This window comes from Homo sapiens, chromosome 2 (assembly GCF_000001405.40).
Source record: "Homo sapiens chromosome 2, GRCh38.p14 Primary Assembly".
Taxonomy (NCBI): Eukaryota; Metazoa; Chordata; class Mammalia; order Primates; family Hominidae; genus Homo; species Homo sapiens.
The window spans coordinates 17,510,579-17,538,174 of NC_000002.12; the positions used below are offsets into that span (position 1 = coordinate 17,510,579).

Here is a 27,596-nt window from a genome sequence, read left to right on the forward strand (position 1 = left end):
TTTTATCCAATAATGAAACGGCTTTAATGTGTACATTTTTATATCATATAAAAATCCATAAAATATTTTATAACTTTGAAAGGTAATACCATAATTTATACACTCAAAAAAAAAAACTTCTCCACTTTATAATAAAGCAAGCCCCAAACCCCCAAGCTGGAAGAACATATATCCAAAGAAAACAAAACATTTCTAGATGTTGTAAAATGTTTTGAAATATGAAAGTCAAAAATTTTCTTTTAAGTTTCCGTAACACATTTGTTTCAGATAAGGATGAAGTTGTTTAATCCTTGCTTTTCTTGACAAACCAATCCTGATTGGCCTACTGCATGTCTTAAGCGGTCGTACTCTTGAAATGCCATGTGGAAAGTGACTACCTAAAAATATAAGACAATAAAAGTAAAAATTATCAATAGTTTCTATGCCTAAAAATCTTTACTTCTAATCATGATATTAGCAACTTTTACTGAATATTTACTGAGCACTTATTATTTATGTGCCAGACACTATACTTTAAATGCATTATTTTACTTATTTCTAGCTCCAGTTTTAAAATATGAAAAACATAAGCACAAAAAGTTAAGTAACTTGCCCCATAAAATATAGCAACTAAATAAAGTCAGCATTCCAATCAGGCAGTCTAACTTAACAACCATCACAACAAAACCATATAGGTTTTAAAGCCAACTTGATGTTGTGGCTTTAAACACCAGGTCATTTTTTCTATTGGTAGCTAAACAACTATGCTGTATGGTTAATGGTTATGTTTGGTTTCTAATGGAGGTTATTGTCAATAATAGAACACAAATGCACTCCATCTATTATGCATCAATAGAGGGCTCTGAGTTGGAAGTTGTTATTTAACATTATACTATATCATTTTCGAAGATGTCCAAAACAGTTCATGGAGATACATACATCTGTTACTAAATCAGTTATGTAAAATCAACTACCTCTGATAATAAAATACAATATCTCTAACTTTCAGGGTTTTTTAAATAAACTGTGGGGTACATATGTAAAACCAAACTGTGGGGTACATATATAAAACCAAAAATGTAAATCAAACTTTATTGAATCAGTATGACCTCAATATAATAGCCTGTTATACTAAAAACAGTGTAATCAAATGTTAAATCTGACAAAAGGTTAGCAGTATGATTTTTACTAACCTGAACCAAAAAGAATCTGTATGTATCTATGTAAACTTTAATGAAGTAGAATACAGAATTAAGCTACATGTATAATAAACAGGGAGAAAAACAACACAAAATAGATAAAATCAGTTTATTATACTCTATTCAATATTAAAATTAGAAAATTAATTATTAAAGGTTAAAGAAAAATACATTATTGCTAGATCTTTTAAAAACTTTGAAACACAAAGGGATTGTTTAAATAAGACAACATTGTTGGATCACAAGATCCTCCTCCATTGGTCTAAATGATATATAAAGCGCCAGTGAACTGGCTGGTTGGCATACAACATGTGCTCAAAATAATTTCAATACTGTACTTGCCTTCACACCACAGAGAGAAGAGAGAGATGGAAAGAGAGAAGGGATTCATTGAAGACATTTAGTAGTCAACGGAAACGTTAAGAGAAGAGGCATCATGATGGCAGGTGGGTGGGTATCAAAACTTTTCAGGATAACTGGGATCTTTCTGATGCCTTTAAAATGACAGTGTATAAGCAGGCAACCACTCTAACTAGGCAGATCAGTAAAATCCATTCATATTAACCCCATTCCCCAGTATCTTCCAACTTTTCTCTTACACTGTGGATTTTAACAAGCCTCAGGATGATCATTCAACTTTTGTACCCTTTGAAAGTGAATCTACTTCCTAACATAGTATTAAATAATTCTGGCTGAATTCATACATTATTTTTGACATTTCACAACATGTCATTTTAACTTGTGAAGGCAGAATCACATTGTTATATGGGTTTAGATATTTCAAACAAATGTAATGATTGCTTTTCCAATGTGCACACATACTTTATCTTCCTCCTATATCCATTTTATTATCACAATTATAATCACAATGACAGCATGAGGATATACTCCTAATCTTCCTTTATTCTATATCAAAATATATTGCTAAGCCAATTTCTTCCTTTCTTTCTGCCCTAGAAGAAGCAAACCCTATCCTTTTCAGGCTAATTCTTGCCATACTACTTTTTGACTCATGGAGTATTGTTCCATCAGTTACTTCCTTCATCCCGGGGAGAAGAGACTACCTGTGGGCTTTGATCTTCCAATGTTTTGATTAATTTTTAAAACTATTTCATTGTAAGCTAAGAAAAGAGGAAAAGATACAATTCTGAGGTGACAATAAAAGTATCAGAGGTAACATTCTACTGATTACGAGAATGCAGAAAAAATGTTTTGAGACATGATGCATGACTTAAGATGTTTTAGTAAATATATTTAACCTACAATGTTACTCTTTTTAGATCTAACCTTGTTGTATAATACCAGAAATTTCTGACCGGATTATAACTTTGCCTAGTTCCATAATTTCAATCCTACCCCTACCCTACACCCTTGGTACCACAAGGTGGAATGAATGTTAGACATACTGTGTTTTATTCTGATATTGTAGATCTGTTGGGCAAAAGATAAGGTTAGTTGTTTAATTTTTCTTTAGTGTGTGCTTTTTTTTTTTTTTTTTTTTGACAGAATCTCACTCTGTCGCCCAGGCTGGAGTGCAGTGGCTCAATCTAGGCTCACTGCAAGCCCCGCCTCCCGGGTTCACTCCATTCTCCTGCCTCAGCCTCCCATGTAGCTGGGACTACAGGTGCCCACCACCATGCCTGGCTAATTTTTATTATTTTTAGTAGAAATGGGTTTTCACCGTGTTAGCCAGGATGGTCTTGATCTCCTGACCTCGTGATCCGCCCACCTCAGCCTCCCAAATTGCTGGGGTTACAGGCGTGAGCCACCGTGCCTGGCCTAGTTGTATTTTTAATGTAATCGAAAGTATAAACATCAGTCAAAAATCATGTTGACATGACTAAATGGCAAATATTTTTTATTCACATAATAAAATGTCCACATAAAAGCTTCATAACAATGAGAAGCATAGAGCATGCTCTCTATCAGAGAGCATGGTCCCTATTACACATCTCTATTAGATGTGTAAACTAGGCATATGCAACACTTAACATATAGTCACTTTAATACATCAATACAAATATCTGAACGTAGTTTTGCAGAGTGCATTTCCCAATAATATTCTAAATAGCATTTTAACTGTTACCAAATTTTTAATTATTAGAATTTATCAGTATAATATTAATGCTCTTAAAAGGTGCTAAAACTTTGTATTTATTTTGAACAACATGAATATCTATACTTTCCTCATACTAAAAATACCATAATGCAATAATCATCTTAGAAGTTATCCTAAAAAGTAACCACAATGTTACCTCCTCTCAATAAATAATTAAATTCTTCTTTACATTCATCAGGGAGAAAAGCAGGTCTTTTAGGTAAAGGTGTTTCACAATCTGAAAATAAAGAGTGATATGTTACAGCAAAAAGTAACTTTTATATAAAATATTAATGGTATAAACAAATTATATTTTCAGAAATATTTCCTTCAGTTGGCTCCTAATATTTAGAAAAATGAAGTAGGACTCTTCAAAGCTCCTTTTTAAAATTAACTTGTTTCCTTCAACTTCAGTATATTATTGAACATTTGAATACATCTTTATGAGAAAATAGTGTGCACCCAGCTAGCAGCTGCTGAGAAATTCAAATTTCAAGGTGAAGCTGTGTCAAAGTTCAAGGTGAAGCTGTCTCAAACATTCAAGAAAACACACAGACTCCAACTGTACAAGAGGAGAGTGAAGAGGAAGAGGTTGATGAAACAGGTGTAGAAGTTAAGGACATAAGGCCTGGCGTGGTGGCTCACGCTTGTAATCCTAGCATTTTGGGAGGCCGAGGGCGGCGGGGGGGGTGGATCACAAGGTCAGGAGTTCGAGACCAGCCAGGCCAACACAGTGAAGCCCCCATCTCTACTAAAAACACAAAAATTAGCTGGGTGTCGTGGCAGTCGCCTGTAATCCCAGCTACTCTGGAGGCTAAGGCAGGAGAATCACTTGAACCCAGGAGGCAGAGGTTACAGTGAGCCGAGATTGTGCCACTGCACTCCAGCCTGGGCCACAGAGCTCGACTCTGTCTCAAAAAAAAGAAGTTAAGGACATAGAATTGGTCATGCCAGAAGCAAATGTGTCGAGAGCAAAGGCAGTCTGAGCCCTGAAGTACAAGTAATGATATGTGGTAAATGCTATTGTGGAATTAACAATGTAACTGTATGAAAACACCTTTTTTTTTTTTCTTGGTGTTTCCAAGGAGTAACTGCAGCTTGCTTTGAAATTTGTATTGTTTCTATCATAAATAAAGCTATGGCTTCTTGCTGGAAAAAAAAAAAAAGAAAGAAAATAGTGTGCATCAATAAACATTGTCTTGCATTTTATCTCTACCTTCCTTCTTTGTTGTCAAAATTATACATTTGGCCTACACAGAAAAAAGCAGTAATTTTTCTAGCATGAGAAATAATGTTCTAAAATGAATTTCATACCTTTCTCAGAAGTAGAGTAAAGTAATTCTTCCTCTGATCTACTTGGATAACAACTCTCATTAGGAACTTCCTGTTCTCCATTATTGGGTACAGTTTTCCATTTAAATAAACTTTGGTGACTTTTGCCCATATTAGGACCTGCTATAGTATCATGGAACGAGGAAGATGCACGTATTTTGTTGACCACAACCATTTTCAAATCTTTTTCTATCTCCATTTTTACCTTCTCAGCATCATTTTCTCCAAAGTAATTTTCTTGCCCATTGTTTGTTTCCACAGTGCTTAGAAGTTCATTTTCCCTACTAATTTCATGAAACATACGAAGTTCTTCAAGTACTAAGTCAAATTTTCTCTTCATCTCAAAATCTTTTACTATTGTCAGAGCTTCTGTTGATAAATATTTAGCAGCTAAGTCCTGAAAACATTCATCATTCCCTTCACTCAGACCAGTTTCAAATTGATGATTAATATATAATGCAGAGTCATTCTTTCTGTGAAAATCCTTTGAATTAGCTATCTCCCTTTCTGGCAAAATACTCTCATATTCATTTGTATTTGTTACATAATTTTGATTAACATATTTATTTTCTTCCACATTTACTTCCTTACTTATTAATGAAACTGACTGTACAGAAAACATGTCATCCATTGGAAAAAAACTATCTTTCTCTTCCTTTTCTATCTTAGTATCTTTGTGAACTTGGCAACTATTTGTTAAACTTTCAGCTGTGACTTTTACTTCCTCTTTCAAAATTAAGTCATATTTTTTTTCTTCTATTTCACTTAGCAAGTTCCAAAAATTTAGTACTTGAGTTATAGAAGTGGTATGGGTCTCTTCATTATGTATTATGTTGTGGCTTGCTGGTATGGCCTGTTGCCTAACATTGCAGAGATCTTCAAATATGTGCTCACAGTCAAAGTTACTGATCTTATTATGTCCCTGTTTTCTTTCCATATTTAAATCTTGGCTGTGCATATTTACTTCATAAAAATTTTCATTAATGTATCCTCGGTTGTTCTGTATAAATTGAGGACAAGAATTACCATGTGCTTTAACAGTACTAGAATTATAGTGAGCCCAATTTTCCACATTCACAACTTGTTGAGGACAACTCATATTCTGACAAGTAATTTCTCTTATTAAAGAAATTTCATCCATGTCATCAAAGTCCATTAAAAGGGGAATTTTTTCATATGTTTCAAAAATCGGAAAACCTGTATTTTGAGTTGTCATACTGAAGGAATTAATGAGTTTTTTCTTAGACTTTTCAAAAACTTGTTCAGTTCTAAATAACTTCCTTTTCTTTAACATAGGTTTCATATTATCTTCTAATAGTCTTGAAGAAGTTAAAATCTTTACTAGATATGCAGTATGATTTTCCACTATATTTTTTGGATACTTCAAATAAAGCATGCACTTGAAAATGCATTCCTCTTCTAATTCAAAATCATTTTCAATTCTTGTTAAAGAGTCAAAGTTATTGAGCAAAAAAGCTATGTTAGTTTTCAATAGAATATCTAAAGGTTCTGAAACACTATCTTGTAAATATATGCTTAAAATTCCATTCTTTATATTTGTATTCATGTTTCTGGTTATTAGATTTTGAATACCAATTATACCAATTTGCTTTTTACACTTCAAAATGTTACAGCAGGTTAAAATACTATTATCTTTTTTATTTCCTGAAATACTTTTATGGAAATAAAAAATTTCTATAATGAAACTTTCAAAAGGGTTGTTCACATGAAAGACTTTTTGTGTAGTATTGTATCTCAACTGTAGAGTATTATCATTTTCTCCTTTACCATTTAGCCAAACAGTCGTTATTAAAGCTGTCTGACTACCTAATATTTCTCTTACGAGAAGCTTTGATTGTTCTTCATATGCATTGATGACTTTTGCACAGTGGTAATCTTCCTTGCTTAAAAGGTCTATTTCTAATAATAATAGCCAATTCCATTTTTCTTCAGTTTTTTTCATATTTTCACATTTAGTCTTGCAATTATTTATAATCCAACAATTTCCTCTATTTCTTCTCAAAATATGTCTAACGTTACAGTCCCAGTTTTGAGATTTTTCCAGCCTGGTAAGTACGTAACTGTCCAGACATTCTGCTTCCTCCCAATTTGCATTTTCTAGTATAGCGAAATTCTTTCTAGAGTCTCTTACATTACACTGGATACTACTGCAGTTACAGTAGTTTGAACTGATCAAGTCTTTTCTCTTACAAGTATTTTGGCTACTGAGTGATGGGTAGTCATTTTCATAACATTTGGAAAAAATGTTTTCCGCTTCTACAGTTTTTTTATCATTCTGTAACTTTTGCTTCTTAACATCAGGTCTATTTTGGGACCAGTAAATGTTTGTGAAATCCCTAACATATGCCTCTTTTTTGTCATTCTTTTTCTTCGCTATTTCCTTTAAATAGACAGAGGACATTTTGCTATTTAAGTCCATTGGAAACTGAGGGACACTTATTGTGCCGCTATCTCTAAAATAGCTAGGTTTGGCAATTTCCAAGCTGGGCTGGTTTTGAGATTTTGATATTTTTAGTACAGATGATGAAATGTTATTTTCTCTTTTATTTGATGGCACAACACTGTTAGCTTTACATCTGTTCTTAATTTCATGAAATGGTGATTTAGTTTCCTTGTAAAAGGTAACATCTAAAAATGGATTTTCTTTGTGAACATTGTCTCTTCCTTGGACAAACTGTTGTTTTCGATTCTCATTTCTAATTCCATGTATATCGTGTATAGAGGTGCTGGGCAGAAGTTGACTAACCCCTGCTTTGGAGCTATTACTGCGGTGCACACTGAAAGCCTCTCTGTCATGCAGGCCTGCCTCAGACCTTCCTGAAGCCCTCAAATCAGAATCAGGACTTTGTGAGGGGGGAGACTGCAAACAGCTACTCATTTGGAATTTGAGATTTGAGCATTTCAGATTACATATCTGCTTCCCACTGACTGATTTCTCCACACACGAGTCTGTGGAGTTATCGAAAATAGCATTCGTTGAAACAAGGAGTCCCTTGAAGGGTCTAGGGGACAACTCCCAGACTTTTTCCGCCTCAGACAAGCGAGGCACCAGAGGCAGTCGCCAGCCCGCCTTAAAGACACCTCCAGGCTCCTCAAGACAGAGCCGCTTGCTACTAGGTGGTTGGGAATCCGGGTCCTCAGGAGGCGTTAAAGAGGAGGTAGGCTTTCTGAGCTCGGCCATCCGCGGCGTGGGCTGAGGGAGAGACATGACAGCGAATGGAAAGGATCTGTCCGAGTCCCGGCGGGGCTCCAATCCCTTAATAGGCGGTTCCGGGCCGCTCTGGTCACGCCCCTGACCCGCCCCTCAAGACCTGGCCTTAGCCTAATCTCAGGGTTTGCCCCACCCCGAATCCGCCCCTCCACAGCCCCAGCCTCAGCCCCGCCCCGCCTCCCTCAGTCCCTCCTCTCCCTGCCCCCACCCACGCGCCCCGGTTGTCTCACCACTGAAGGTCGGAGCACCCTGGGCCGTTACATTGTCTATTTTTAGCGCCTTTTTCTAATGCCACGACTGTAGAGAGTCTAAATGCTTTTTTCCCTGTGGTAGAACGAAGGGGAAAAGTTAGAACCTCTCACTTAAAAAAAAAAAATTTGTGAATGGTAACAACTTTATTTTCTAAATTCTAAAATTTTGTTTACCTCAGAAACGGCATCTCCACAACGGCTCGAGTGACTCTCCAGTAAAATCGTGTAGTTCTGTCAGCACCAGACCAAATCTCTCTGTGTATGGAAAAACTTTTTAATCCTTCCAGCGTCACTTAAGATCATATTAATATTTCCACTTCACTAATAAAGTGTGTTTGGGGGAAAAAAGCCACCAGTACTTACCAGTCTATCTGAGGAAAAAATGTGTGGAAATTATTATCCGGATAATTATTATTCTTCACTTAAGACTAAAAAAAAAATAGTTTACTATGTGCTGTGGGGATTTCTTCTCAAATATTGTGGATAAAATTATTTAGAGATAAAATATTATATGTTTGAACTACCCCATTTAGTGTAAACATAATAATACAGGTCTGACTCATACCTACTAACAAATTTTTAGACGCTATTTCTTGTTTTTTTTTTTCCTGCTTTGAGAATCATTTATGATTTCCAGTCAATTCTGGTTTTTGTGAATTCTATAATCATTAAGAAGAAAATGTTTTTCAAAATGTTTATTATTATTATATACATGTTTCTTAAGAAACATGTAACTGGTGCTCAGTAATAAACACCTCGATTCCCTTGGTGGTTGTTTCAAGCTTGGTATGTTTTATATTACATTTTATGCTAAAATTTATAATAACTACAATAACATGCAACCAGAATCCTAACTTCAGAACCCTCCCATGGCATAGATGGCAATATATAACTAGCCTTCTACTTTAGGTAATAAGATGTTCACCAGTTTCATGTTTTTTAAATACTCTTAGATACATTGTGATTACTTCAGTGTAAATTCCTCTAGAGAAATGTTTACTTAAGTTTGTAGAAAGCCTTGCAGCAGAAGCACTTCATTAACACTATAAATAAGAATGTGGCAGTGGTTCAGATTCCACATCAGTGAATTCTCCAAGTTCTACTTCTGTGTATCTTATGTTCTATTGCTTTTCTATCCCAGATTTTCCACAAATCTATATTCTTTTCTAATCCATTCTGTTTTAGCCCATAAGGGGTGACTTGTATAGCTAAGGTGTATATAATTGGTGCGCTAGTGTGATATTAGGACCAAGACTTTTTAAATCTGTAAAGTAAATGCCATTGATTGTGATTTCTAGTCTAGATTGATCTGTAACTTGATATTTGATTATTTCTTCATCTTGCTAGTTTGCCCAAGAGCACATTATTTTTTATATCTCCATCACATCATTATTTAACAACTCTACATTGTTTAAGGATTAAAATTCAAATAAAACCCAGAAGTATTACATGTAACTCAACAATTGTTTGACTCCAAGATACAGAAATGTATAGTTATTTTCTCCATCCTGAAGAAACTTACAGCCATAAAGACCAAAAAAAGAGTCTTTTCTTGCATTTACTTATTTAAACATTATACTAATGGCCACTGCCATTTCAAACAATGGCTATTGAAACCACTATTTATGTGGGTTTTTTCCTTTGTTTTTTTAAATGCCACCTAGAAAATGAACCAGTTATAAGTGAGAAATGCAAAAAATTATGTCTTCAACTCATCATAATCAAAATATAAATAAGACTTGTCTGAATCTTACTGATGCCTCAAAGCCCATTTCAAATGTCATATTTTTCTATATCACTTTACCCAACCCTTCCTTTGAAGTTCTTACCTTCCTTAGTAACAGTAAACTGAGCTTTAAAGACAGCATCTATCTGATTTCTTTTAGCGTGGTGTCTTCTTATAGTTCAACTCTGAATGAATAAAAGGATTAATGAGTTCATGAGATAAACCCCATACTGAAGATATGACACAATCTCCTATTAGAGTTAAATCAGAAATTTACTCAATATCAATATCAAGTCTAATGTCCTTAAGCATAGTATGTCACATCCTCACTACTAGGTCCTACTTAACTCTTTCAGCTTCTTTTTTTTTTTTTAAACAATTTGCCCCCATGCTGCCTACACCAGAATGTTTATTTTCTTGCTCTTTTATGTATGTTCTCAAAGCCCTTCATTTCTCCTCCTGGCAAATTCTTATTAAGCCTTAAATGGCCCTACTCAAAAGTTACCTCTACGGTGAAAGCTTCTCTTCCTCCTCCCTGCTGTAGCCAATCCCTGGGCAGAATTACTTGCATCGTCATCTGTTTCCTATAGCAATTTATTTCTAACTGTAGAACACTTAAAATGTCTTTATTGTATTGAGTTGTTTATATGTCCCCTCCACTAGGCTCCATTAATCAGGACAAGGATTTATTAATTTTTGTATCCCCAGTGCCTCTAAGTACCTCAGTTAATTAGAAGAAATGAAATGACTCCATGGTTAATACTCATTTACCAACTCAAATGGATTCATGGTGTCTTGAAAGTGCCTTAAGTTTCTTGTTTTTGTGTTATTTTGCTTTAGTTTTATACATTAGAGACTTGCTTTTATAATCATGTTGAAATACATTTAACATGAAAACTATGCTGAGCTATAACACCATAGGAGTTCAAAATGGACTTCAAATATTAGTGGTTTTAGCATCATTTGTGTTTCATGGTAGAACCAGAAATATGACAAGACAGTTTTTCCCTTTTACTTCTTTTAATAAATCATGTAAGAAGTGAATAAATATGCTAAATCTAAAAGTTTGTTTCAAACTGAAAGATAATAAAATATATTTCAAACAGTTAAAAGAACCACTAACAAAAATATTTAAATACAGCAGTTAGAAAGGAAAACATCATCACTTACTAAAAATATTTAAAATAAATATGGCTATAAATAACACAAATAGCACTTTTCATCAAGTCAATGATAAGCACTAGGGGAAAATAAGAAAATCAGGATACTGTGTACATTTATTTGCATATAAGATTAAGTTTTTATCAGCGCAATAATGGTAATTTGTAACATAAATAACATCTTAAATGTGATAACATATGTGCAAATGCTTTAAACTATAAACCACCTTTTTGTCCTCAATGTTCATTAATGACATCATAATCTATCCAGTCTCCTAAACTAAAACTCTTATATTATCCTTAACTTTTTCTCTTTTTTTGTTTTACTACTTCCCAAAATGCATCCCCTACATAGACATTCATCAAATCTTGTTGATTTTACATCAAATATGACCCTGAAATTAATCCCCCTTTTATCCATAATGTATCATCTTTATTTCAATCTCTCGTTATCTCTTTCTGAGAATATTGTAATAAACCAGTCTTCATTTTACTAGTCTCTTCTCAACTTCTGCCCAATACCATTACAAAAGTTTTTTTCTTAATAGAATATTAATCATTTTGTTACTTTCTTAAGAACTTCTTTTAACCTTTGATGCCCTTCAGAATAAAATACAAACTTTAATTTGACATAGAAAGTTCCTCATAGTTCAGTTCTAAACTGTTTTTTTCAGCTTCCACATCTACTCCCACAACACAACTTACTTTCCTGCAGCACTTAACTTCTTGCCATCCCTTAAATGTATAAAGCCCTTCGCAGTTTCAGTCTAGGCCATATGCTGCTTCGTTTGCTTAAAGCATAGTGGCAGGTCTTACTTAGGAAAGTTTTCTGCAGTGATCCAAAGTTTACAGTCATCTTTAGACCCCTACAGTTTTATTTGCTAACCTTTTTTTTAACTTCTAAATTTCTCCGCATTATTATGTTATTATATTTTCTGCTTACTTAGCTAATTAGAAATAACCTTTTTCCTGAGCTCTAAGTATTGGAAAAACAGGTGGAATGTTCCACTATTTACAACATCCATTTGATACTCTAATAAATTTCAGTAACAATTTAAGAACCCTGTCGCTGAAATAAAGCAAGAGTTTGTTTTTTATTAGAATCCGTGCAATTGCAAATAACACCTTTTTTAAAAACAATTACGAGTTCTTTCCAATTAGACTTTTGTAAAAATCTTTTCAAGGTTTTGAGAGGACAAAATGTCTTTTTTTAATCATATAAACTTAAAATACTTAGATTACTTCCTCCTTTTGTAGTTTTTTCCTGAGTTTAGTCACATAAATATTTAGTTGGACATGGCAAATTTATATAGCTATCTTTTACTTAAAATTTTCAAGGAATTACATATATTGACATTAAATAAAAAATACATTTAACATGAAAACTATGCTGAACATAATTTAATTTTATATCCTGAAAGAAATATTGAATAGTAGTTGGAGGAGTAGAGTCGAATCAAACTAAGTTTTTGAATCTATAGTCCACTCATTCCTTGATGTGTAATATGAGCAAATTATTTAGTTTTTCTGAGACACAGCTTCCCATAAATGGGAATTAAAAAATAGAACCTACCTCATAGATTGCTGGGTAAAGTAAATGAAATACAGTATATAAAGCATTTAGAAGAGTCCTGGGCACCCAGTCAATGTCCATTTAAAAACATTTTTAATTACAATAATTATTATCAAACTCATAGTGTGCTGAGCTGGCTCTTACAGATTCAGAAGAGTTGATTGTTAGCATCTCTTCCCAACTGTGTATTTCAGTAACTTCACGTGGGTAGTTTGGAAGTATTTACATCACTGTAAATGGCTCATAATGGAAGTATTTATATCACTGAAATCAGCATATGCTACAGATCAGAGCTTTTTTTTCTAGAAAACCAGTTGTTAACAGTTACCAGCATAGTACAGCATCAAACTCTGTCTTATGTTTCAATAGTAATTTATATTATTCATACTATCTAAGTCAATTCTTACTACAAGCTTATAGCTGTAGTGAGCCAGGCAGTTTGTCTAGCTAATATCAAAGTCAAGCAATTCAATAGACTCTATATTTGATGCCAGGACATATGCAAAAACCTCATTTAAAAATAAAAGAAGCTCGTTGTAGTTAGTTTTCATCTCATTTGATAGTTCTTTATGAGTGGAAAGTCCAAAACTTAACATATACAAAAAAGTAGCTATTTAATATTTTAAGTTTGTTTATAGTTTCGTGATTTCAGAATGCACATAGGTTCTGTTCACAGGAAAACAATGGATCAAAAGAATACTCCCTCTATCATTATCTAGGACAGAGTATAGCCACTGCCTACTATCAATGAATAATCATTGAATCATAATATAATCTTCAAAGTACTTTTAAGTGGATGCTGTCATGTGATGATTTAACTCTCCTTTGATTTGCTGAACATCTATTATGTGCAAGGATCTGTGCCTGATGCTGAATGAAATATTTTGACATGTAAGATTTAATCCTTGTCTCTAAAGAATGCATTCTAACAAGAAATATGCATATAAAAGGATAACCAACAATACATTGCCGAATCAGGCTGTTCACAACTTTGTCCTAGCTATTTTTCAGCCTTATCTTCAGCCACTTCACTCTCCTCTCCTGTGCCTCTCACAATTTGCCACACAAAACTACTTGCAATTTCCAAACATTCATGTGTTTTGTTGTTTTGTTGTTCAGTTCAAAAGACATTTATTGAGCATCTATTATTCAGCAAGCATTGCGTTAAGTATCAGGAATCCAAAATAATACACAGTCTTTTTCCCAGAAATTTAGAGTACAGTAGGGAGACAGACTTATAGTTTATTTCAGTATAATAGGATAAGCGCTACAGTAAAGTTATATCTAGCCACTGAAGAAAGGGGATCAAATGTAGTCTGGAGACTTAGGGGAGACTTTCAGGAAGAAATGGTGTCCAAAAGCTGAGTCTTAAAGGTTATATTCATTCATTTAATTCCTATAAGCCTATAGTTTTCTGTAAAACTTCCTTTTATTTCCATACTAATCAATTATTCATCCATGTTCCCATAACATTTCAGACATCTATTGCATACTTATAAAATTATATAGAGATTAGTTGTAACATACTATCTCTTACACTAAATTATTAGCTCTTTAAGACTTGGGATAGTTAATTTGGTTATCTTCATATTTCCAATATTTAGCATGGGACCTACCATATGATAGACATTTTTTAAACTGTCAGCTTGAAAATATACCAAGTGAATGATATAGAAAATAAGTACTGTAAAAAATAAATGCTGTGAAAATTCGGGGAGGGATTACATAAATTCTATACAAAATAGGCAAGGAAGGCTTCACAGAGGAAAGGATTGAAAAATTCCTGTAAAACAGGATCTAGGAAGCCTCAGGAGAGTAGTTTCAACCAGAAACAAAATTTAACCTAAGGTCCAAAAAATAGAGCTCTGTTTTGTCAGAGACAAAGAAAGTGGGGAAATAGCTCTAACATTAAACTGAGAGGTAGGAATAAAGATGAATTAATCTGAAAGCCACTGACTCAAGGAATCTGGTTACAAGAAGGCTTGGCCAATCAGGGTGAAAAGCAACAAGGGCCTGGAAGACACTGAGCAATATTTTAAAAAACTAAATCTAAATAGACATTATGATATAGTAACTTGCCTATCCTGAATGTAGTATGTATCCCAGGATTTCTCTAATTATAATGAATGGGTTTGGTATATTCCACATAACTGAATTTAGCATCAGTGGACCTTTTAAGAGGAGAATTAATGAAAGAAAATGTGACCAAGGCCATGATACCCTTGAGCAGATATTTGAAGGGGTCTAGCAGAAAAAGAGCCAAGAATCACAGAAAGTAGACAAGGAAATGTAACACTGGGAATTGGGGAGAGGCATTAGTGCGTACTGCAATGTGCTGTCACACAATTCTGTTAAAGGATAACCTTTTCCCTAATTTTTAATAGTTTCTCAAAGATAATTATGCCCTATATGGGGAAAAAATAGGATCAACATGTTTAATTTTGAAATGCAATCTGATACATACTCATTATATATGTAATATTTGTTTTACATAGTACTTATGAATAGAGAAGAAAGTTGCTTTGCAATTTTTGCCTGAGGTCATTCATGCTCATCACCCACTTAACTGTAGTTTCATATCAACTTCCACAAGCTAATCCCACAATTTCTGGAGACCACTCAGAGGGACTCTAGAAATGACTTTCTTAAAAGTTATCTGGCCTGCACCTTGGACAATAACCTAGAAAACCATAGATATAGAATACGGGCTGCTTGGTTAAAGTTACAATGCCTTCTTCAAGAAACATTCAAACAAGGCAGCAGCTGGGCTTGGAATATAATGTGTAGCTAAGCAGGAACAGAACCACAGTAATCATGATTGGAGTAAAGAGATAACATACATATATGACCCTTCTTCTCGTATGTGGAAAACAAAAAGGTAAGAAAGAGAAGCAGCAGCAAAATGAACATATATTTCCAAGCCATGCTAATTATGATATTATATATTATATATGTAATGTATAAGTAATATAATGAATCAAGGGATTATAAATAGAATTTTAAGTTAATATGCTCTACAACAATCCAGGTGTTGTATTTTTTTTAAAAAGTAAAGCATAAAAAGACAGAGGATTTTCTTTTTTTTATTTTTGCATATAAAATCTCTGTCGGGTGCAAACACATATAAAAAAATTCATTCAAATGATACTTAGCACAGAATATGTGCTCATCACTGTTCTGGACACAAGGCTCGTCTTTCAATAGGTATAGGCTTGTAGTCATGAACACTTAAATTTATATGTGGTTCCTTGTTGGATATCCTTCTGCTTGCTTAGCAATGTAATAGCAGCATCATATTTTCTACTTTTACACTCCAAACTGGTAGAATAATTACCAAAAAATAAAAAGATGACTATTTCAATTGCTGCATGTCATTGCAGGGAATACTCCTTCTACCGAGTTTGATTTATAGACGAAGTGCCTCAGACCATAATTATCCATTGTTGAAGTACTAATACGAGGTCAAACTTTGTCAGGAACTTCAATGTGGAACCAAAATATGCCAGTTTAAACTCCAAAAGAAGTATCCCAGATGTCTGCAGGAGACTTTGGTATTGGGGATTGAGAAATAGAAGACAAGAAACAGAAATGTAGCATCATTCACCACTAACCCTTTCTGTAACCCTAAACCCTCTACAAGAAAGGCATACAAGAAAAGGATAAGAGTTTGGATATACAACAGTCAAAACTACACTCACTGCACTGCTCAAAAAATGTGCCTTAACTGAATTTGCCAGAGGTTCAGTAGAATTACAAAACTATTTTGCACTTTTTTTAATGAAAAAGGTTTTCAAACTCTGGCAAGAAAACAAGCTCAAAATTCAGGCTTTTTGTTTTATTTTGATTTTTTTCTGTTGCTTTGAGGAATGAACACTATAAACTTGTATCAATTTACACTGAAATCATAGTAAGAATTTTAAGAAGGCCAGAAATCTATTGACAGCCAATATAGAGTAGTAAAGAACATAAGAAATATGGGCTCCGCACCCCGAAAATTATCATGCTTCAGCCTTCTATTTCTTTACCTGAGTGGTGTGTTCATTTTGTGATAATTCATTATGTTGTACATTTATGAATGATATCCTTTTCTGTCTGTGTTTCCTATTTTTAGAATGAAAGAAAAAGAGAGGAAAGGAAGAAGGGAGGAACAAGGGAAGGGAGGGAATGGAGAGAAAAAAAGGATGAGAGGAGGGAAAGAGGCTGAGGCCAGGGTGTTCAGAACCTTGCATGCCAAAGCTAAGGAAAGGTGGACTTTATGCCACAGACAAGACAATATTTGTGTGTTTCAGGAAAATGATATATGTAAATAGCATTTTAGAAAAATTTATATAGTAGCCAATTTAGCATGAACCAGAAGCAAGAGAATACTGTCTCTAGGAGAAATTGGTCTAGTTTAGAAGACATTGAAATAATATAACCAGAAATGTTAAGAACCTGTATTGTAGTATCGGCCACAGGAATAATATATTTTAGAAATAATCATTAGAACTTTGTTACAGCTGCTTTGAGGGTAAGAAATCAGTGATTATTTCAAGGTTTCAAGCCCAGTTGACTAGAAAAATAAACATATTATTAATGGCAGAGGGGAGTAGAGAGGTTGAACTTGTGTGAAAGTATATCATAAGGATGAGGGTGAGGCATCTGAATTTAAACATATTGTATTGAAGAAAGTGCTATTGCTCTAGACTGCTAGTTGGAAAAGCATAAATGGAGTTCAACAGCAGATAAGGATTATAAATGCAGATGATTTCATGTTCATATGCATATTAAAATGATTTGGCATGGTTATGAAGGGCAGAAACATCAGAACTGCATTCTCCCAGCTTCTTTTTGCCACTATTAATATTGTTCTAACTATATATCATCATGGGAAAAATGATATAATTTATACTCTGTTCTACTTATATATACTATCAGATGATACCTATAAATTCTTTGTGAGGATAGAAACCTCTTAACACTTGATGAAAAATAAACCTCTTACCTCTTTCTACTAGTGTGGTTGGCTTGGTTTTAAAAAATGATTTCAAATTTTGATCCCTGCTTTAATGTAGTCTCATTTTGACTATATTGCAAGGTGGCAAAATTTTTACTCAGGTTTGTTGTCATCTAAATACTTTTAATCAGAAACTCCTTGAAGATATTTTATTGATTGATTAATATGGTAAGTGTTTATTTTGTGATTTTTGGAACTAATTTCACAAAAATTAGTTTAAGTATGGGTAGGCGACAAATAATCATTAAATCAGTAGCATGTAGATTTTAATATTATCTGCATATAGACAATCACTCTTAAAACATAAAAATATATATGGCATTTTCCTTAAAAAGAATGAGAGGGAAAAACTATTTAAATTTTTACCACGACCTTGGAAAGCTATGATCAGTTTCAGGGAAGCTACCTAATGAACAGTTAGAGAAAAAATAAAGTCAGATAGGCACGGTGGTTCACGCCTCTAATACCAGTACTTTGGGAAGTCAAGGAAGGAGGATCACTTGAGGCCAGGAGTTCACGACCAGCCTGAGCAACATAGGAACACCCATCTCTACAAAAAATTTTAAAAATTAGCCTGGCATGGTGGCACGCAGCTGTGGTCCTAGCTACTCAGGAGGCTGAAGGGGAGGATTGCTTGGGCCGGGAGAGGTCGGAGGATGTAGTGAGCCGTGATTGTACCACTGCTCCCCAGCCTGGGCAACAGAACAATTCCATGTCTCAAAGAATAAAATAAAATAAAGTCTAGCACAAACTTCATTTGTCAGTAGCAAAAAAGGAGGACCAGTACCTAAGAAAGAATATAAACATATTTCTTGGCTTTCAAATGATTATACTAGTTGCCAAAAGATGGTTCCAGTGTCTGTTGCCAATTGTAAAAACTGTTCCCAGTCATACAAATCTAGAAATTCCCTGTCAAGTCTTATGTGTTTTCTTTCATCAATCTAATCATGTTATATTCATGAAAATTAACTTAAACACACAGTCACTTTTTCTTAAATACTTTCATAGTATATTCTAACATATTATAAAATATCTTATATATTAAGAAATATAATCACTTGTTGGGACATGTCAACTTTCCTCTGTATACATTTACTATAACATCACATTCATAATTTGTCAACTAATAATAAAAAATAAATAAATAAATTACTTAAAATTTTTTTTCTCTTTAGAATTACTAAAAAACAACTGTTTTCTACTGTTTTTGGTTCTGTAAGTGCAGAATTATGTATCATAGTATGAATTATAAATAAAATTATCAAGTTATAAAAATAATCTTCCCAATTATCAAAATTTCCAATGGAATGTTAATTCTTCTAGATAGTAAAATCATAGAAAAATAACCCACTGAGAATGAAAGCTAAAAAGAAAGAGTAATTAATCAACCAAATAATGTTGAGCTCTATTATGAATCAGGAACTTAGCATTCTGAATGATACAAAGTAAATATATAAGATGCAGCTTCTGCAATAAGTAGCTTTATGATATCATTAGATACTAAAATCTAAAAGAAGAACTATGTGTCCTGGTGATATTTCATTGAATATTCCATTCATATTAAGACTACTAAAAATTGAAATGAAGAAAATATCACCCTGGGATAGATTAGCAGGGAAGTATTCATGGGATTTAAACAAGACCTTAAAGAATAAGTAGAAAATTCACAGTTATACAAATTAAGCATCACATTGTAATCTGAATCTTCCTGTGGAATTCCATTGTACAATTCGTCCTTTGGGGGTACAAATTTGAGTGGAGCTCTAGGAACACTATAAACTACAGGTTGGGGGATCACTTTTGTCTGGACATGCTCTTAGTGAGTCAGATCTTTCAGAGGATCTTGCCCTGCTCAGATTCATCTAACTTCAGGCATAGGATCTGATCAGAAATCACTGACTGATACTGCCTGTTTCTTGCCCCATTCCCAGTTCTTCTCACAGAACAAGAGTGTCACCATAACTACCAAAGAGTAAAATTCTCTTCTCTCTGGAGAAGATTCTATCATAAATCTCAGGAGATTCATCTTTGGCACCTTTCCGCTTATTCATACTATTTGAATAAAATGTGTCACCAAGTAACAGCATAAGCCTTGCTATAGCAGGGACCAAAAAGAAATATTCAGAGAAGGAAATAAAAAGCACACTCACCTGACAGCATCAGGAACATTTTATCTTAACTCCCTTAATGTTCCTGGGTAAAGCTTTCTGTAATTAGTTTTTAAATGATCCTACAAGTTATTTTGGCAGCTTTCGAGAGGCACTGACTCCTCAGATGAATACTGGTGTCCCTAAAGACATAAACAGATTAGCCAGGTGTGGTGGCGCATGCCTGTGGTCCCAGCTATTCGGGAGGCTGAGGTGGGAAGATTACTTGAGCCCAAGAGGTTGAGGCTGCTTTGAGCCAAGATTGTGCCACTGCACTGGATCCAGCCTGGGAAATAGAGTCAGGCCCTGTCTCAAAAAAAAAAAAAAAAAAAAAAAAAAAAAAAGACATATATTGAGTTACTGTATTCTTTCCTCTAGACCAAAGTGGGAAATTATCCACATATCTTTTAAGATAAAAATAATACAAGCATAAATAATAATATTAATGGTCCATTCTCTTAGATTGATAGATCTGTTATCTTCAATAACGGGAGAAAGAACTTCAATCTATTTAGAAGTCTTAATAAAGGCCTATTTTTAAAAGTGAGTGTTGAAGGCATAAAAACCAAAGAGTAAATTTTAGTTCATTTAAAATGGTCCTTAATCCATCAGATTCAAACTGCTTTCAAAATGCTCATGCTCTCAAGTTTCAACTACTTATTTTTCAAATTGTACAATGATGTATGAAAATTTTCATAAAGTTTTCAGGTAGCAGGATTTTCATAGAATGTAACCATTACAGATTTAATCTTTGGGCTGTATCTATTTGTAAATGACCCTGAAGGTTATCATGACAGGTAGTAATATGTCATTTTGCTAAAGCACAAATGTGAATTTTATGGAACTATAAAGCTGTTGCTTGCAGTTAATTAAATTAGTAAGTTTAGTCAGCTGATCATGTGGTATGTGCAGCTGAATGTAGCTTTGCTGTTGTTATTTATCATCTCATTTTATACTCATAGGCAATAATATGGCCATTTACCAACAAAGTAATTTTTTCCTAGAGTAATATTCACATACTGGGGAGTCGGGAAAGCCTTAGGACATGTCCCTTATGAATATTAAGATATATAACATATTAAATAATGTTATTTAGTCTTATTTTTCAACCAATCCACAATCAACATGTTTGAACTTCTAATACTGTACTACAATCTACACAACCAGAATTCAGTCAATGAATGTTTCTAAAAACATCATATGTGCTGTGAACCTAAACCTGCTCTAAAAAATAGTCTATTAAAAATGACATTATATGGATCATTGGCAAGGTGTTATATAAGTCTAATTTCAGAATATTGTTTAACATTACAGTGCTATTAATACTGAATTTTATTCAAATATCCATAAACTAGCCTAGCAAATCTTAAGCAGAATTTGAATTACTTCCAGCAGTGGTACTGTGATCAGTATACCTAATCCGATTTCCATGAGCAACAATAATGAAAGGTCTCTAAGGAAGTTATTTTAAATAAAACTAAAACTGTGAATTTAATTTAGCTTTGCATTGGAAGAAACTGGCTCAATATCATCTTAGATGCAAATTAGCACTATTAACTTATTATCCAGAATTTCTTAGATGCCCAATATCTTGAATTTGTGAACCATAGATCTCTACTTTTTATTCTTTCCCAATTTATAAATAAGGAAATCAGGGCATGAAGGGAACTTAAGTAATTTGCCCAAGACCACATCTAATAAGAAGCAGAGTTGGTTTTTGAATCCACATCTCTTAATTCAAACCTCGGCAATTTTCACAGTAAAAAAAGCCGGGGTGGGGGGGGAAGCATATTTGCAGAAAAGAAAACTCTTTCTATTATCGCACTGCCAGAATATTCTTTATCATAAACCTAACACCCACATGCTGTATTTAAATGCAGTTGTCCTCTACACCAGTTTCCTAGGGCTGCTGTAACAAATACCACAGTCTTGGAAGCTTAAAACAACAAAAATGTATTCTCCCACAGTTCTGGGGGCTGGAAATCTAAAATCAAAGTATCATCAGGAGATTTCTTTAGGGGGTTCTGAGAGAGAATCTGTTCCATGCCACTTCTAGCTTCTTGTTGTTGCTGGAAATCTCTGGTGTTCTCTGGCTTGTGCATAATTCCAATCTTTGCCCCTGTAGTCACGCAGCATTCTCCCTGCCTGTGTCTTTCTGTGTCTGTGTTTTTTCTCTTATAAGGATATCAGGAATTTTGTATGAGTTTGAGACTAGCCTGGGCAACATAACGAGACCCCCACCTCAAAAAAGAAAAAAAAATTATAAGAAAAAAATCCAATTGGTCTAGCGAGGTTTTAGTGTCCAGAACAAACAGCAGTCAGGAACCTGTTTCTTTAGACCCTTTTGGAGGCAAGGGAACCATTGACTTGTGGGCTAGGCATACTCCTCCAAAAATATCTACTACAGACTCCAAATATGAAAACAAAAAACTAGATAGATAGATGGATAGATAGATAGATGATAAACACATATATGTTCATATGCATGCATGTGCATATGAAAAGTTATTAATCAAGTTAATTAAATATTAACATTTTTCTAAAACAATTTAGCCAGCATGCATATATTTGAAACAAATTATTATTTTTGTTATTAACAGACCATGTTCTACTTTAGCTGGGTTAAATACACATCGTCATTTTAATCCTGCAAATACTTTCTTACAGACAATATTCCAAGTGCTGTTTGACAATACTAAAATCAGTAAAACTGTTACTACTTTCTAGGAATTTGCAAACAAATATGTAGGGAGAATAACAAGTGCAAAAGCAACTCTTCCAAATTCCTTTTTTCTAAACTTTGGTGGTTAAGTTTTACTCTTCTTGTCTCTTCTCTTTATACTCCTCCTTTGTCAATCAAACCTATTCTCTGGCTACAGCCATTACCTGTACATGAATAACCACCAATTCTATATTTCTAGCACAGACTTCCCACCCAAGTTCCATCCCTGCAATTTCTTGATGTCTGCTGGACCTCTCCACCTATATGTGCCAATAGCCTTTCAAATGCAAGAAACATGTCCAGCAGTTAAGTCAATCCTCTTGCTCTCCTCTTCTCCAAACTTGCATTTCTGTTTTTACTAAAATCAATACCATTGTCCCAATGATCCAGTTCCAAATCTTATGATTGCATTTGACTTTACCTTCTCCAATATACATAATCAAGTATCAAATTTTGTTGATTCTACTCTAACAATATCAAATTCATACACTTTCCATTTCCACTGCCACTTTTCTGGTTCAAGTGTTTATTTCTTCTAATGTGATTGTAAAAACTTTTCTTCCAATTCTCTTTACCTCTAGTTATGACTCTTCTAGTCCCTCCGTGATTTAAACATTAAAAATTAGCAGTGAAATTTTGTTTTCAAATAAAATCATATATGTGTAATCCAAGCACACTGGGAGGTGAAAGCAGGAGGATTGCTTGAGGCCAGGAGTTCAAGAATAACCTGGTCAACCTGGCCAGATTCCATCTCTACAAAAAATTTAAAAAATTAGTTAGGCATAGGGGTGCATGCCTGTAGTGCTAGCTACTTGGGAGGCTGAAGCAGGAGGATCACTTGAGGCCAGAAGTTTGAGGCTGCAGTGAGCTATGATTGTACCATTGCACTCCAGCCATCTGGATGATGTTTTACTGATTTCGTTTTAATTTTCTTTCATTAAAATCAAAAATACAACAAACCAGTCTGAAATGACACAGTAAACTACATCTCTATCACCAAATATGAGTAGATAGCCTCAGAACTATTACTCCATAGGATTTTCCAATAGAATTTCTTCCTTCTTTGTTATATTTCAAGCAACTTGAATAAAAATGAATTCCTTGATGCCTCTGAGTTTTGAGGCAAAATGTATAAATTTTAAAAATGCTTTAGTAAGTATATAATTTTTAATTTTAGTGCAAAATTTTCCATGGTATTTTAGACTATGAACTATTAGTGGAATACCCAATACTCTTTGACTTTTTGTTTTTATATACTCTGGTTTCCTAATCAAGAAAAACAAAGTGAGCCAAATATTTTTGGTTTTCTCTTCTAGTAGTGTATGTAATGGTAATTCATCTTCTTCCTAAATTATAATCTATTACTGCATATTCTTGTCATCCCAAGCAAGAACCTGAAACTCGGAAAGATAGAAACTAGTAGCTCATTTTTTTTCAGCATCGGAGAGTAGCAGTTGCTGAATAACTAGTATTACATTACTGGGTTGCCCCTACCTAGTTTTGTCACATTATACCACTTTACTTTTAGAAAGCATTACAATATGGCCTTTCTCTTCTTCTTCTTTTTTTTTTAATCAAGTTCATAATGTTCAGTAATATGGCCTTCCTAAGGAGTTGATCTCACCTATGAAATGGGGGTAATGCTCTCTGTTTGTGAATCAAATAACATAAGAATAGTAAAATCATTTAAAAGCTATAAAACAGAAGATACTTTAATATAGTTCTACACTTGTAATTTATGCCTAATGTCCAGAAAAATAAACAAACAAGAATAATTGAGTAAAAGTCCTTGAAAAATCAGTTAATAAATGCTTTTAAATACTTTGTGGATTATTTGCATGATAATAATTTAATCAAGGTGGAAGACACTCATGCTTAAAAGTTATAAAGTTTCTTCATATCAAAGAACCTTAAATTCAATCAAAATGATTCGAGAGTTTTTTCTCATATCAACGTAGCATTCATTTTGCCTTTTGAAATGAAAAGCAGACTTTGGCTTTTATTTAATAATTAATAGATGTATTGTCATTATATAGTATCTTATGTTTAAATAGAGCTTCCTAGTTAAGTATTTTCATATATACTATCTCAGTTAATCTTCAAAACAATTCTGTAAACTGTCTGCTATGTGGTAGGAAAAGATTCTTCTGCTGGGAAATAATTTTTTGGCTGAATTTGAAGGATTAATAAGACCCTTAAAGGCAAGACAAGGGAAGGATGAGTTTCCAGGAAAAGGGAAAGAGTATATGGATAAGTGCGGAGAAGTGAAACATTATTACCTATTTGGTATACTGCAGGTAACACAGAACGGTTGAGCATAGAGCACTAAAAAGACATGGCAAGAGATGGGGCTCTCAAGAGCCAGAAAATGATCTTGCATGCTGTGCTAAGGAATTTTAATTTATGTTGTTTAAAGTGAGAAACCAGTTAATGATTTTATTCAAGGAAGTGACGCGATTTTACTTGCAACAGTTAGGAGAATGAGAAAGAACACGTGTTCCAAGAGTGAGATGATGAGAGGCTGAACTAATACAGTGGCAGTGAGGAATGAATTTGCAAGACATTCAGAAAATGGAATTCACGGGATTCAGTTAACGACGTGATGAGGAATTAGAGAAATGGAGAAGCTGAAGATAACATCCAAGCTTCTAATTTAGAGGACTGGGTTGATAGTGGGCATCGTCAAAGTGCTAGGCAGCACAGGGGGAAGAACAGATCCAAGGAGGCAGAGGGGCAGGGGAGAAAATCATTTGGAGATGTTGAGTTTGAGCCATCTGTAACAAATTAACATGAAGATGCTCTATAGGTAGTTTTAAAAGGAGGAAGTCGAGAGTAAGGTGAATGTTTGGATTTAAGAACACCAGTGATCATTCTTTCTCTTCTTGAACACCCCCTTAGGAATGATAAGATGAACTCTAAAGGATATATGTGGTAAGAACACCAAAAAAAAAAAAAAAAAAAAAAAAGAGGGATCCCACTGTTTCTTTCCTCCTTCAGGCAGGATAAAATTTTTAAACTGTTTGGTTAAAAAAAAAAAAGTGGGTTTTGTTTTAGTTGGTTGTCTCTGAGGGGGCATAGAAATCACTGTTCGTATTTTCTCTTAACTTCTATGCTAAGAATCTCTGTTGAGGTTGAGAGTTTAATTAAAAACTCTAGATTAAAGAAAACACAGATTAAAGGGAGAAACAAGTCAGTAAGATCTGCTTTAGGCAAGAAGGGTTTTTGAAGACCCTTCTGGACTCAATGATTTCCAACTACCGAGGTCCCCCAAAATGGATCCGTGATATTATCTGCAATGGCGATTCACACAACTGAAAAAGAGTACAGCCTAGCAATAAAGACACCTACAAAGTCATGAATGAAAAGAAACAGGGCCATGCACAGTGCAATTCTGTTATCATCATTTATGGAGTGTTGCCACTAACGATAATGGTAAAAATTTCCAGCTTCAGAGCACTGCTATGAATCTATATGTCAGGCCAAATAGTAGAAGAGAAAATGGAATAAAGTATTCTCTATTCTTGAGGCTGCACACTACCTGTATTTGCTATGACTATTTCTGAGGCCCCAAGAAACTTCCAGGAAACTCAAATCTTTCACGGTGATTCATCTGGCAGGGCCTTATGAAACTTTTATTGTGGATTGTTCAAATTTTGAGGAAATTAGTGTCTACAGACAGAGTGATCTTTCAGACTGAATTTAGATCCAGTCATGGATTACAGAGTGAAATCAGAGGAGGACTGGGAGACATGATCAATCAAGTTCATTAAAACTAGAATTTTTATTCCCTTCTCTGCAGAAGGAGGCCTAAAACTCACCCATTAACTGCATGGGAATCACTGCTTCATGGTCTTGCATTTTTTTCAGTATTTTAGAAAAACATGTAGAAGGGGCACAGACATATACAATGAGACAGTCTATGAGTCAGAAAAACTGTTGTAGGGCTGTATTCTAAGAGATACTTCCTATTTGACTATAGGGAAGTTATTTTATTTTGTTGGTCTATCTGCATCTTTTAAAAAAAGATTTAAAAAGTCAGAATAGGACTGGAAAAGATGGCTCATGCCTATAATCTCAGCACTTTGGGAGGCCAAAGCAGGAGGATTGCTTAAGACCAGGAGTTTCAGACCAGCCTGGGCAACATGGCAAGACACCTGTTTCTACAAAAATATAATAAAATTAGCCAAGCGTGGTGGTGTGTGTCTGTAGTACCAGCCACTTGGGAAGCTGAGGCGGGAGGATCACTTGAGCCCAGGAGTTTGAGGCCACAATAAGCTATGATCCTGCCACTGCACTCCAGCCTGGGCAACAGAGCGAGACCCCTGTCTCTCTCAGAAAAACAAAAAAAAATCTTACGTAATATAATTATCTTACGTAACACACCTTTTCTGTAATGATTAATACCCTTTGCTTTTGGAATAAAGGTATGCTATCCATAGAAGTAAATTACTATCATTATTCTTTAAGAATAAACGAGTATAAATCCATTCTTCAATTCCGGTCTCTTTTCATTTTCTAATAATGACTTTCAAGTTTTCTTCCAATTTTTAAAAAATATCCCCATGCCTTAAGTTCCACCCTTCTTGGCTCATATATTTTACACACAAATTTTCTAATAAATAATATTACCAGGAGTTCCCAGGACTATGAGCTTAGACCTGTTACACTACTGGAATTTCACACTTTTACTGTCATTCTCCGTTTTCAATTCGTCCACGTCACAAAGCGAGTGAGAATATTACATGGAGTATTTTACACCTGAAAATCTACTGTTGGTATTGTTTGTTTGTTTGAATCTGGGAAGAAATAAGGTGGAAGTAAGGCTAGAAATTTCTATAAAGAACATAATTTGCAACTGAAGGAAGAAAAATAGCTCTTCAGTTGTTTCTGGTTAATTGAGGATTCTACCAGATACACAGGAAGGAAGAAACAAGCCCCTACCTACAGCACCTTCCTCCTCCTCCTCTATACCCCCCCACCCCCCAAAAAAAATCCAGGGTGTGAAAGTTGTAGAGTTGGGGACGTGGCTTTAGGTAACGGGACAACTGGTAAAGCTGATGGCATTCTTCACTCAACATGGGACAGTGTTCCAGTCCCTCTACCACAGGAGCGCCCGGCAGCGTAATCTCCGCTTTTTTGTGATCACCAGTGCCATCCGCAAATGCCTGAAGGAGGAACAGC

At 34.4% G+C, this 27,596-nt stretch overlaps 1 protein-coding gene and 1 pseudogene across 6 annotated transcripts, besides 3 other annotated features; one reads left to right on the forward strand and one right to left on the reverse strand.

Moving 5' to 3' along the window:
* Positions 1-27,281, reverse strand: RAD51AP2 (RAD51 associated protein 2). Of its 6 annotated transcripts, none has more exons than XM_024453116.2 (8): positions 27,045-27,281; positions 19,697-19,836; positions 9,921-10,002; positions 8,266-8,346; positions 8,071-8,164; positions 4,591-7,822; positions 3,434-3,514; positions 1-377 (listed from the first exon to the last, which is right to left on the reverse strand). In XM_024453116.2, the coding sequence occupies exons 6-8, from the start codon at positions 7,808-7,810 to the stop codon at positions 226-228; spliced, it is 3,453 nt and encodes a 1,150-aa protein (XP_024308884.1). In that variant the 5' UTR covers positions 7,811-7,822; positions 8,071-8,164; positions 8,266-8,346; positions 9,921-10,002; positions 19,697-19,836; positions 27,045-27,281; the 3' UTR covers positions 1-225. The 6 variants fall into 6 exon arrangements, with proteins under 6 accessions (XP_024308884.1, XP_024308885.1, XP_047301686.1 ...); XM_024453117.2 differs by lacking the exon at positions 27,045-27,281 and adding an exon at positions 26,234-26,469; NM_001321233.1 differs by lacking the exon at positions 27,045-27,281 and having other exon boundaries at positions 6-377.
* Positions 3,740-4,442, forward strand: LOC101928149 (nascent polypeptide associated complex subunit alpha pseudogene; annotated as a pseudogene).
* Positions 7,390-8,589: an enhancer, noted in NCBI's record as "BRD4-independent group 4 enhancer chr2:17699235-17700434 (GRCh37/hg19 assembly coordinates)". NCBI's record gives its function as "activates an origin of replication core promoter dependent on BRD2, P300/CBP, MED14 and CDK7 cofactors, and independent of BRD4, by STARR-seq in HCT116 cells {active_cell/tissue: HCT116}" and the evidence as "EXISTENCE:reporter gene assay evidence [ECO:0000049][PMID:35650434]".
* Positions 7,574-8,123: an enhancer, noted in NCBI's record as "OCT4-NANOG-H3K27ac hESC enhancer chr2:17699419-17699968 (GRCh37/hg19 assembly coordinates)". NCBI's record gives its function as "activates a minimal SCP1, AML or CMV promoter by ChIP-STARR-seq in naive H9 embryonic stem cells {active_cell/tissue: H9 hESC(naive)}" and the evidence as "EXISTENCE:reporter gene assay evidence [ECO:0000049][PMID:30033119]".
* Positions 7,885-8,134: a silencer, noted in NCBI's record as "silent region_11188". NCBI's record gives its function as "represses an Ori minimal core promoter by ATAC-STARR-seq in GM12878 lymphoblastoid cells {active_cell/tissue: GM12878}" and the evidence as "EXISTENCE:reporter gene assay evidence [ECO:0000049][PMID:35858748]".
* Positions 27,282-27,596: the final 315 nt, after the last annotated feature.

Coding starts and splice junctions, on each gene's coding strand:
- RAD51AP2 (NM_001099218.3), bottom strand. CDS start 7,837: ATGTCTCTCCCTCAGCCCACGCCGCGGATGGCCGAGCTCAGAAAGCCT. Junction 3,515..4,590: donor TTACTCTACTTCTGAGAAAG/GTATGAAATTCA, acceptor CTTTATTTTCAG/ATTGTGAAACACCTTTACCT. Junction 378..3,433: donor TAATTATTTATTGAGAGGAG/GTAACATTGTGG, acceptor TTATATTTTTAG/GTAGTCACTTTCCACATGGC.